This window comes from Homo sapiens, chromosome 18 (genome assembly GCF_000001405.40).
Source record: "Homo sapiens chromosome 18, GRCh38.p14 Primary Assembly".
NCBI lineage: Eukaryota > Metazoa > Chordata > Mammalia > Primates > Hominidae > Homo > Homo sapiens.
Genome location: NC_000018.10, coordinates 78,700,638 through 78,713,665, shown reverse-complemented (window position 1 = coordinate 78,713,665; position 13,028 = coordinate 78,700,638). Strand labels below are relative to the sequence as shown.

At 44.9% G+C, this 13,028-nt stretch overlaps 1 annotated feature.

Moving 5' to 3' along the window:
• Positions 10,943-12,390: an enhancer, noted in NCBI's record as "VISTA enhancer hs1011". NCBI's record gives its function as "enhancer in: forebrain[5/7]" and the evidence as "EXISTENCE:transgenic organism evidence [ECO:0001131][PMID:17130149]".

Below are 13,028 nucleotides of genomic sequence, written 5' to 3'. Positions count from 1 at the left end.
GCAATATGTGGTGCAGAAACCAGGACTTGGGAGCTTTTGGCCTAAAGTGAAAAGCCGGAAAACCCACACGAACATAGGTGTCATAGTGTTCGGTGAATTACTGCTTTTTGAGAGTACATTGAAAAGAAAAACCATATTCTTTCCAATTATCTGAAATAAATATTACATGGAGTTATTTGAAAACAAATTCTTGCTTTCTCCTTTGGAATCTGACAGTGTTTGTGACTCCAGAATTTTCTCTCTCTGCTTCCCACTTTTCTCACCATGGAACTTCTTGTATATAGCTCAGCATTCCTTGGAGAGCCAGGACAGGATCCCCAGTTACCCGGGATGAGGAGAAACAGCCACACCCTGTTAGGCGACAATCCTCCAGGACCATGGACAGCAGCACACTTGGGGTCGCGGACCCTATCACAAACTCATGTCTACAGCAGTCACTATCTGTCTTCAGGCCTGTCCGCCCCTGGCTATTGGCTGCTGGGAAGTTCTGGTTTTCTTTTCTTTTTATATTTTCTTACCGTGGCTGTACATGTATTTGTGTGTTTCAATTAATGTACAAATGTCCATTTTTTAGATAGAAGTCCCTGTTCTGCCAACCACTTTTCTGTGAACTTGGGAAAATGACTTCACATTTTTTCTTAGCTTTTTTTGTCTGTAAAATGAGAATAATAATATTCTATTAGTGCGTGGCAATACTGAGATAATTCATGAACACACGTTGACAAGTGCCTGGTATACAGTAAGTGCTCAATTAGTATCAATTGTTATTCTCATCATGTTTTGTATGCCTTGGGTTCTGACTTGTTCCACCATACATTTCCCATGGCCTTTAGGTGGATATAGTTCTTTGAGATGGTAGCTCTTTCTCTGTTCCTTTTGCATACAAGGACACTCCATTGATTTGTGAATGAGGATGCTTACTGGACAAATACTGGCACAGAACTCAATTGCCCTGCCAGAGAGCAGGCACCCAAGGCACCCTGTATGTTCACCTTTGCAGGGGGAATCACACACCCTACAGAAATGTAGAACAAGAAGTCTAAGCAACTCTCCTTCTCATTCTCCCATTCCCGGGGGCCAGTGGTCACATACTTTTGTCATATGATCTAATAAAAGGCTCAAATCTTACAGTGTCATTCAGAAAGGACCAAAAAACCTGCATCTGTAAAGGTGGTTCAGAACCTGAACATTTTCCAACAGATTAGGGGTATTTAAATACTATCCTTGTTTAGTTAAGTATTGGTTTAATATGTAAGTTTTGTTTCTACAAGAGCCTTGAGAGAATTTTTTAAAAAGAGTGTTTTAAAGTTTTCTAATTTTCTGGGATTCTGTCAATTGATATGTGTTAGTCAGCTTGGGTTGCCATAACAAAATACCATAGACTGTGGCTCACACAGTGGAAGTCTATTTTCTCACAGTACTGGAGGCTGGAAAGCTGGAGGCTGGAAGGCCAAGCACAGGTGCCAGCAGGGCCGGAGTCCGGGGAGGACCTCTTCTGGGTGCAGCTGCCATCTTCCTGCTGAGTCTCACGTGGTGAAGGGTGGGCAGTGGGAAGAACCCTCCTGTCTGTTCTCATAAGGGCACTGATCCCATTCGCAAGTGCTCCTGCCTTGTGATTTAATCAGCTCCCAATGTGCCCATCTCCAAACTCCATCAGAGTGGGGATTAGGGCTTCCATTTATGAATTGCAGTCCATACCATGATAGTTTCCAGGATCTGAGGCACTCAACATGGAACATTTTATCAGTTATGCAACTCAGCTCCATCCCACTAGAATAGGACAGGTAGAATGGAAAGAAGTAAACTTGGAAGGATTGATGCTTCAAATTGTTGAGGCAGAGGATCTTTCTTGAGCCACAGTTGAGCAGCTCTGTCCAGCAGAGCATTTGGCATTTAGGGTCTTGTACCTCTGAGGAGTCACAGTGCCCCTGACTTGTTAAGATGCCCAGGGTGCGCTGGCCACCTCTGAAGGCAGCTAAGACTCCCCATGGGGGTTAGGGCAATTGCTTTGAACCCTTTCTTCTTTCAGATAAGTTTTAATTAAAAATAATTTTTTTAGAGACAGGGTCTTGCTCCGTTGCCCAGGCTGGAGTGCAGTGGTGCAATCATCACCCACTGCAGCCTTGACCTCCTGGGCTCAGGCGATCCGCCTGCCTTAGCCTCCCGAGTTGCTGCGACCACAGGCGTGAACCACTGTGCCCAGCTTCCAAGTGCTTCTTTCCTTCTCACATTCTGGTGCCACATTCTTGGGCCTGTTTCTCTTACCTGACTTCCTGCTACTGACTCCATAATTTCCACTAGGATTCGGTGTCACTGATATTTTATTTCAGACTTCTAAGAACACCAACTTTGCTGGCTTTTAGCACCATGTATTTTCTCTGTAAAGAATGTCTGCTTCAGCTCCAAACCCCGCACCCCGACGGCATCCTGTCTAGGCTGACTCTTGCCTTTTACTTTGGGAATGGGAAGATGGGGGGAAATTAGGACTCCTCAGTTTGTTCTGTTTCTTTTTAGGGGAGGTACTCGTGTCCTATGATCCTTCGTGCCATTTTTTGATTGCCCAGGAATGGAAGATTATAATCTGGCATTTTCTGTTTTCAGTAGCAGGTGAGACCCTGGACTGGTCACATTCCCTCCTCACCCTGCTCTCCTCTGGCCTCTGCAAAGAAAGTTCATCTGATCATGAGTTAATCAATCAAATTTGTTAGTGATCGCATGTTGACTGAGTGCCCTCTGTGTTTACATATTTGATTTGGTTTTCATTTATCCAGGTTCTCTTCCCCACAATTGCTTGTGTAAACTCTTTCTATTTGGGGTCCCACTTCTTACAGGAAGCCCTCCCTAACCGCCTGGGGGCAGGGCACACCCCTTTCCCTGGTACTGAGCTGTGCTCCGCCTGAGTCCCCACTGTACTGTGAACTCTACAAAAGGAGGACCTGGTCTTGATCACTGTTATCTCTGTCCCCAGGACAGCACTTGATAGGTGTAACTAATAAGTGATCAATGAATGCTAGTTTGAGTACATGAGCAAATTCAGATAAACTCCTTGAAACCAGTGTCCAGACTCTCATATATTCATAACTCAGCATCCTCACACCTCATGTGTTTCTTGACATAAAGTTTATGCATTTGAATTAAAATGGTAGTTTTAGTGACATCACTGAAATTAATAAAACATCTTTTGGATACCGCGTTGACCTATTGTGCTTTGGCAAGATATATTTTTGTCACGCAATTTTAGTAATATTGAGAAACTTGCTATAATTCATTAATTTTTTCTAAAAAGAATCAATAAGATACTCTAGGTATTTGTAAGCCTGGATGTAGATAAAGTATTTACAATTGCTCTAGACCCAGGGATCTCAAGAAAGAGTGAACTGACCCCCTGGAAAACTTTAGTGATGCTTGGAGACATTTTGGTGGTCCCACCAGGAGGGGTTCACTCCTGGCATCTAGTGGGTGGTGGCCCAGGTTCTGCTCATCACCCCATGGTGCAGGGCAGCCCCACAGCAAAGAATCTCTAATCTCCAGAGGTCAACATTGCTGAGATAGAGAGGTTCTTGTCTATACTGAATTTAATTCATCACAATATCTCTTTATTTCCTTCTATTTTTATGTAATGGATTAAAAGTGTTAAGGACAAGTTCTTCTCTTGGCTAAGTTGGAAAAGTTCCATTCACCCCACTTCCTCCCTCTTACAGGTAAACAATCCTGGCCGTCACACCACAGGCAAGCATGAACCCCTGAGGAGTGCGATGAAGGTGGAGTGGCCAGGCCAGGGCCTTGGACTGGAGGAGTGATGCGGCAGTGAATTCCCTGGGCATCTCTATTGCCTCCCTCACACCTGGGGGCTGGACAGGGCCCTGAGAGACTGCTAGCCCAGAACCACTGACAGGTGCAGACAAGAAATCTCCAAGAAAAGGCAGCTCCCCTAAATCAAGGGTGGCATACAGGGTGGTCTAGCAACAGGAAACTGCACACAAACCGAAAGGCAGAACCTCCTCTTTCCTCCTTGAGATTTCAACAGGTCCTTCCCCATCCTCCTGCGCAAGTGTCTGCAGTGCTCTGGTTCTGCCTGGCAGCATCTGTGGGGCTGAGCACAGGGATAATTTCCCAAGTCCCGGCTCAGCAGGGCCCACCAGGGTGTTGGGCTCATGCCTCCACTTGAAAGCAAGCCAGCAGTGGGGTTCAGCACCCTGCTTCTGCTGGGGCGGGGCAGTAAACCCGATAGTGAACTTCTTCCCTATTCACCCACAGCAAGGCTCGGAGGTGCTGAGAAGCCCTGTGGGAAACAGACACACAACCCCACCCGGGCCCTGTGCTGTACCTCAATATGCTGACCACCTGCTAAAAACAGAAAGCTTGATAGGACTGAGTGTCATGTTATAATATCGAGAATATCCATGATACAACCAAAAATCACTTATCATGCCATGAACCAGAAAGTCACGATTTGAATGAGAAAAGACTATCAGGAAACCCAACACTGAGATAAGTCTGAGGTTGAAATGATCAGACAAGGATTTTAAAGCTTCATAAAAGTGCTTCAGTAAGGAGTTACAGATTCTTTTGATACAAATGAAAAAGCAGAAAATCTCATCAAAGAAATATGTCATATAAAAAGAACCAAATGGAAATAATAGAACTGAGAAATAGAATCACCAAAATAATAATAATTAAAAAACCAACTTTCTGCATGGGCTTAGTTGTAGAGTGGAGATGACAGAGGACAAGGTCAGTGGACCTAAGCGAGGACAGGTGAGTGTCCTTTATCCCAACCGGACAGCAAGGAGCACAGGCAGACAACATTTAAACGCAGTGGAGACCTGTAGTGCAACGACACAAAAGCTACCATCTATGTCCTTGGATTTCCAGAAGGAGAGAAGAGAGAGAATGGGCTGAAAAAGTATTTGATGAATTAATAAATTGTTGTTTGGCAAAAGACAAAATCACAGATTCAAGAAGCTAAACAAACCCCAAGTAGGATAAACTCAAAGAAATCCACACCAAGAGACATCACAATTATGCAAACTAGAAATCTTCTGAAAACTAGAGAGAAAGAGGGAATGACACTACCCACAAGCCACAGCCCCGAATGTCAGAAGATTCCTGACCCGAAACCAGGAGGATGAGAGGAAGCAGCACAGCGTGGCTCAAGTCCGAGAAAAAGAACTGTCAACCAGGAATTCTATGTCCAGTAACAACAGCCTTCAGACATGAAGGAGAATCAAGACACTCTCAGATGAAGAAAATCTAAGACAATTTGTTGCTAGAAAGTCCACCCTTAAGGAATCACTAAAGGAAGTTCTCCAAACAGAGAGGAGATAACAACGGAAGAAGACTTGGAGCTTCAGAGAGGAAAGAAGATCAGAATGGGTGAAAATAAAGGTAAATATCATATTAGCCTCATGAGTTTCTTAAAGCATACTTGATTGTTGAAGCAAAAATGATAACCCTAAGTGATGTGACGTCAGTGCATATTGGAAAATAACACAATTCTATTGAAAGGGGCTGAACGGAAGCCAGGCTTTAATACTTCACTCAAAGTGGTAAAATGTTAATACTAGTAGGCTGTGGTAAGTTATGTATGTAAATTGTACTACCGAGCAGCAGAGAGCAAAGCGATTCAAAATGGTATACTAAAAACACTATAAATAAATCAAGGTGAATGCCTGAAAATTGTTCAGGTAGCCCACAGGAAAGCAAGACATGAGAAAAAGAGAAATGTGAAAACAGAGAAGCAAACCAAAAACAGATAAAATGGCTGTTATAAGTTCCTATAGATTAATACTTACTTTAAATGTAAATGGTCTAAACAGAACAATTAAAAGTCAGAGGCTGGCAGAGGAGATTCAAAAGAAGAAGACAACGTGATCCAACAAGAGTCTGTCTATAAGAAACTCACCTCAGATACAATGCCATATGCAGGCGGAAAGGAAAAGAATGCTAGTTTCTTACAAAACTAAACATGTTGTATCATAGGACCCCGCAATTGCATTCTTAGACATTTATCCTAGAGAGAAAAATTATAGTCACATAAAAACCTGGACATGCATGTTCCTAGCAGCTTTATGTCTAATAGCAAAAACTGCAAACAACTCAAATGTCATCCAATAGGTGAATGGTTAAACTCTGATCCAGCAGGATACTACCCAGGAATAAAAAGGCAAAAACAACTGGTCCATGCTGCAACTTGGTTGGATCCCAAAGGGCTTGTCCTGAGTAGAAAAAGTCAGTCTCAAAAGTTCCATATGTATGATGTAATTCATACAATGTTTTTTTTTTGTTTTTTTTTTTTTAGATGGAGTCTCGCTCTGTTGCCCAGGCTGGAATGCAGTGGTGGGATATCTTGGCTCACTGCAACCTCTACCTCCTGGATTCAAGCAATTCTCCTGCTTCAGCCTCCTGAGTAGCTGGGGCTACAGGTGAGTGCCACCACGCCTAGCTACTTTTTAAATCTTTAGTAGAGATGGGGTTTCACCATGTTGGCCAGGCTGGTCTCGAACTCCTGACCTCAGGTGATCTGCCTGCCTCGACCTCCCAAAGTGCTGAGATTGCAGGCGTGAGCCACCACGCTTGGCGTCATATAGTATTTTGAAATGACAAAATTATAGAAATGGGAAACAGATTAGTGGTTTCCAGGGGTTGGGGACTGGGACGGAGGTGGCCGAAGCCATACAGGGCGGCTCAGGGATCCTGGTGAAGGAGCCGTGCTGTGCACTGACTGTGCTGGTGGTCACATGAACGTACCCCTGAGATAAAATTGCACACACAGGCATGAGCGCAGGTAAAAATGGTGAAATCTTTATAAAGGTCAGTGGATTTTGTTGATATTAATTTCCTCTCTGTGATATTGTTGCACGGTTATGCTGGAGGTTATCACTGGGAGAAAACAGGTGAAGGTGTTATCAGGATCTCTCTTTTCTAGTTTTTACAATTGCTTGTGAATCTACAGTCATCTTAACGTAAAAATTTGAAAACCTATTAAAAAAGCACATTTTTATTTTTGTAGTTTGTGTGTTGCAGAAACTCCAGAACGGAGCCACTCTCATTACAGTGGCTGGTCCATCCCCTTCTCCAGCACCAGCCTGGGCTCTCCCTGGCCGGTCCATCCCCCTCTCCAGCACCAGCCTGGGCTCTCCCTGGCCGGTCCATCCCCCTCTCCAGCACCAGCCTGGGCTCTCCCTGGCCGGTCCATCCCCCTCTCCAGCACCAGCCTGGGCTCTCCCTGGCCGGTCCATCCCCCTCTCCAGCACCAGCCTGGGCTCTCTCTGGCTTCCGGTTGCGTTGCTAGGATTTGCCACAGCCATAGCACAATATGTGCCAGGGTGTCCAGCAACCCTCGTTCCATCACAACCTCACCTGTGTAAAACCTTGGCAGAGAAAGTGAGGAAACGTCATGGTGCAAAGCCTGTGGAGAGTTTACCGGCTTCGAAAATAGGTGCAGTTTGATTTAAAGCCGCCATCAGCCTACAGTGGGGCAGAATGCCACTGTGGGGCTTTTACTAAAAGTCGAGAACCGTGGGATCCAGTTGTAGTTGGCCGCTGGCTGCGTGCCCCTGGGCAGGTCCCTCACCTCTCTGGGCTGTAAAGAAAACAGCTGAACCCCAAGAGCCAGCTCCTCAGTCCCTTTAGAAGAAAACGGTCCACGATTCTGTAAATCCTTGAGCGTTTTTCCGGGGGATACACTGGTGTCATCTTCACCACGCCCTGTCGTTGGACCAAGGAGAGCAGGAAATTTCCAGTAATTACAGTTTCTATGCAAATACAATTGCTGGGCCTGGTTCAGTCATCTGTGGCACAACCCAATCAGCATCATCATCGTATTTTTGGATGTGGTAAAACCAGCCACGTGCCTGCGTTTTACAATCAGTTAACCCTTGCGCCGTAGGCTCTGTAGCCTCTGCCTGTAAGAGTCTGCCTTCCTTCTAGGGGCTTAGAGTTGAAAGTGCTTGTAGTCTTTAGAAAACACTTTAACCCAAACACTTAGCACTTGACTTTGTCCAGGCGATTACGTGCAGATCACAGAAGCCCTCCACATGCTTCCCCTTCCCTGCAACTCTGGAGCTAGGCAAAACAGAAGTTTGAAACTCTGCATATCAGTAGATGAAATATTATGAGCAGAGAACGTGAATGGAGGCAGAATTCCTGAGGGACCTCAACAGCTCCCTTCACCCACAGCCCTGCCAGGCTTCTGAGGCCACGCCAGGTGCTGGTGTCGGCTGGAGTCTCCCAGCAATCCTGGGTCCCCGTGGCCCGAGGGGCCCTGGGTCTTGTCAAAGCCGAGGAAGATCCTGTCCCCGTCACCGGCTGCCTTTCTTCTGTGCCTCCTCTCGTTTCTCAGCCTTGGAAATCCCCCCTCTCCCTCCGGGAGGCCCAGGCTCTGCAGTAGTGGCTGCCTGCCTGCCTCCCTTGTTCTGCTCCGCAGCAGTCCACTGGGAGGTCCCTCCCGCCCACGCCTGATGGCCACTGTCTAGCTGCCCTTTGCGTTTTCTGGCTTTGCCAGAGCTTTGGTTCCTCGCCCACAGGACTGAAAGAGGCCCTGAGTCCTTCGTGGCCCAGCTCACATGGCTGGCTGGTCACAGAGACATGTGGACACTGTGCTGTCAGCAAGCTCAGGTGTGGAGGTGGCAGATGGTGACGTGCTCAGGGCAGAATGCGATGGACTCAGAATCCTACAGATGCTCAGCTACCCCCGCCCCCCGTGCAAGCTCTCCCCTGAGCTCTGGCTCTCCTGGAAAAGCCCTTCTCCTGTGATGCTTTATTAGATGTTCATTCTCTCTCTCAAACTCCCTACTCAGTCTGGTAACTTTAAATATCTTTTGAGAACAAACAAACCTATTTTCTCTTGATTGAACTTTAATTTACACTATTGTTTTACTGTTTGGTTTTGGCAGTTGATAAGGAATATCAGAACGTTTTCCTGCAGTTGATGAATTTTTGTCATTATGTTGAAGACGAGTCAACTTGACCAAAGCGTTAACCATGACATTTGCTATCACGGAAGGTCGGAGATGTCTCTCTTTGCTTGAGGCGACCATGAGAACACTTTATCAGATGTTATACAAAAACTGGTGAGCATTCAGGCAGCTGGCCCCAGCTTCAGTCTGGATCTGCCTGGAGCAGCCCTCAGCCCGGGGTTTCACCACTAGATTCAGGACCTATTTCTTCTTCGTGGGGACGGCCTTTTTGGATTCAGTGGTGAACTGGGGAAAGTAGTTCTCATTGAATCTCAGAAGATCTTCTGTAGTTACTTAAGCACACACACTACATACACACACACATACACACCACACACCCAACACACACACCCACACACACCACACAGCACACCTCACCAGCACACACACCATAGACACACTACACACACACGTGCCACATCTCCAACACACACCACACACACACACTGCACACACACACCCAACACACACACCACATCCCCAACACGCACCACACACACACTTCACAAACACACCCAATACACACACCCCCACACACCACACACACTACACACACACCCAACACACACACCACATCCCCAACACACACCACACACACTACACACATAATACGTACGCCCCCACATACCACACACATACCACAAAGCACACCTCCCCAACACACACACTATAGACACACTACACACACACCCCACATCCCCAACACACACACTACACACACACCCAACACACACACCACATCCCCAACACACACCACACACACACTACACACACACCCAATACACACACCACACATACACCACACCTCCAACACACACACCGTAGACACACTACACACATACCACACCCCCAACACACAGACATAACACCCACACCCAACACACACAGCACACACACCACACCCCCAACACACACACCGCACACACCTCCAACACACACACACCACACACACTACACACCCCCAACTCACACACACACCACACACTCATAGCCGCCATGCCTCTGTCCTGCCTCTGCAGTGTCTGAGCGGCGGGCAAGCGCTGAAGCCTCGGTGACGAAAGCCACGTTTCACGGCCACCACGTGCTTTTTAACGAATTAATTGTGTCCCCTTTCCCTGGATGTTGAAGGCTGCCTGAGTGCTCCTGTGAATGCGCAAAGGACACAAAGAGAAGACGACAGGCCAGAGCCTTGGGGCCAACGTGGGCCTTCAGCAGGGCCTGGGGAGGGGTGAGGGCCGGGGAGCGCCCTGTGGCCTGGCGGGTCCCGTGTGTCGGAAGAGCGGTTCCCTGGGCGGTCACTGAGCTGTCTCCGGCAGGTGAGCAGCCGCTGGCGTGCGTCTCGGCAGAGATCAGGCACCCTGAGTTGTGCTTTCTCTGAGAAAATAACCCCGGAAGCGAGCTTCTTCAAGTTCCCACACTAAAAATATTCAGGAGACACAATTTACAAAAAAATCTCTTTCACTGCTCAAAAGCACTTTTTTTTGGTAATTTATACTAAGCCCTTTAGAATGTCATATTGGCCTTTTATTAGTAACCTTGACAATATGATTAGACTCCAAAAAATGTCTACTTGTTAGTGAATAGCTTCCATTCTCTAAACTTTAAAGAGGCTGCTCCGCCGTGACCAACGCAAGCTTCATTTTTTAGTTTTTCGCAACCGAAAAGCACAGATGATAGTAAAATATATGTTTAGGTCAAGCATTCAATTCAGCTTATCTGGTGACAGTTAAATAAATGTCATAGTGACATAAATTTATTTTAACAAACCATTTGGATGCCATAATTCGGACAGACCTCTCACTTTCGTTTTCCAGATTATACTTTATAATGATAAAAATAGAGTTTTATAATTATAGAGTGAACTTTATAACTATAAAAATCATTTTGTTAAAATATAGAGAAAATGTTTATTTTCTAGTGGCAAAGCCTTTGTCCTTTTAAATGTTATTTCGTCTTCATTGTATGTTGAATCCCATTTACATTTTGTTTAGATGCCGCTACAAATAGTGTAAAGACAAGTTGCTGAAGTTAAATTGAGACAAATCTTTACTTATTTTGATGACAAGAAGACAAGGAGATCATTAGTTATATTAATTGAAATGCATTTTGTCAACATTGATCAAGCTTGAGGGGCCAAAAAAAAAAAAAAAAAAAGAAAAAGAAAAAGAAAAAAAGAAAGAGAAAAAACCCAGAATAAACAAACAAAACAAAGCAAATCTCCCAAACACCAACAACCTGAAATCAAAGCTCAAACTTTAACCTTCTGAGAGATCTTGCTGTGCTTTTAAAAAGTCCCCGATATTTTTATGCGCCCTCCCCAACCCCTTCTCTTCACTGCCCACATGTTATTTAAATGCTGATGATCTTGTTCATGGTAATTTCGATGAGCCGCCGCAGACATATAATGCTCCCTCTTTTAATAGGTGCAAAGTGAGTTATTGTCACAAAGCAGATATGAAAAAAGGACGTGAAAGGGAATCTTGCCTAATCTCTGTAATGCGGGCTTGGGAGGGTGCTAACGTGGTCACCTGAATTATGCATGTCTATTGTGTTCAAATATCATAAATCGGTGCATGAATACCCTCCAAATCATTTTCAGTTCGTGAACATTTATATACAGCGCTCTTGAGCACTGCAAAGACAATTAGTCATATTTGTATGCCGGAATTAATTGAGAGTGAGATGCGGGAGGCAGAAGGAGAGAACAAAGAATGCTTTTTGTCAGTTCTTCCAACTGACAGGGATAATTAGATATATGAAATTGAAATTCCTCAGCAGGGGGTTTCTGTTGACAATGAATTTTCTTTTGATTCCATTCTGTTATTCTTTTATGCTGTCATCTGTGGCAATTTGTTATTCAGCTTGAAGCTTAAAAAAGCAAAGCATTCCGCTTTTATGAGTAGATGATGTCAGTTTGTACACTGCTGGGAAATAGATATTAAATGTAATCTTTAAACTAAAAAAAAAAAAGAAAAGAAAAGAAATAAAATAAATCAGTTAAAGAGACAGTGTGCTGTTTACCCAGCCTGCAGAGAAGAAACTTTATAAGAAATAGTCAGAACTTGTTCAGTGGTTTTTGAAGTTGTTCAAGCTCCATTAATCAGGTGCCTTTACTGCGGCTTGAACTATTCTTCTAAGAGGATGCAATTTAATGCTGGAAATTCAAGTATGCAATGCCAAAATGGCACTAGATGCTGTTGCAGAATGCTACTCTTCTCTTTCTTAATCTCATTTTCATTCACCACTCTGTTCTGTCTTCACAACACCAAAAGCATTATTTACAGATTATCATTTTTTCCTTCCATCTGAATCAAATGCTGTGGACCTAGAGTATTTGTAGGAGAAGACTCTAAGAAAACCTTAGACAAAACCCCCCAAATATGGTCTGCATATATTATTTATCCAGGCTGATTGGCAAACTTGATTGAGAATATTTTCTACATTAGACTTCAAGATAATGGCCCATTTAGGTTGCAGCTCATTAACTCTTGGGGTCTTTTCTTCTGCAGAAAGAGCCTGCCTTGGTGTTGGTGTAACAGAAACCCAGTCCCGACTTCATTCCTCGGACTCTAGCTACTTCTGTGAATGGTGGGCGAGGTTTTCACTTCCTTGAGCCTTTCTGTCATCTCTAAAGAGACAATTGGAATTGCTACCCCTCACTGCTGCTGTGAGGAAGGATTTAGCATAATGCCTGGTAGTAGGAATCGTAGATGTGTCTTAAAAGTTAGATCCCTGCACCTGTCCTTATGCGTATCATTGCCTTTCTTAAACTTTCATTCATTCCTTCATCCATTGCTCCCACCCACTCATTCTTTTAAAGTGTGCATATTATCTAAGACCAAAGGTGCCATGGTTGATCCTGGGGTTGGAGTCATGAGGAAAGCAAAGGTGGTCCTGGCAGGGCTCGGGGTCTGCTGCAGCCTTCTCAGAGTGGGCTTTGAGCACCAGCTGCATCCAGATCACCAACAAAATTTGTTTAAATGCAGTTTCTCTGGCCGGGTGTGGTGGCTCACTCTCGTAATTCCAGTGCTTTGGGAGGCTGAGGCAGGAGGATCACCTGAGGCCAGG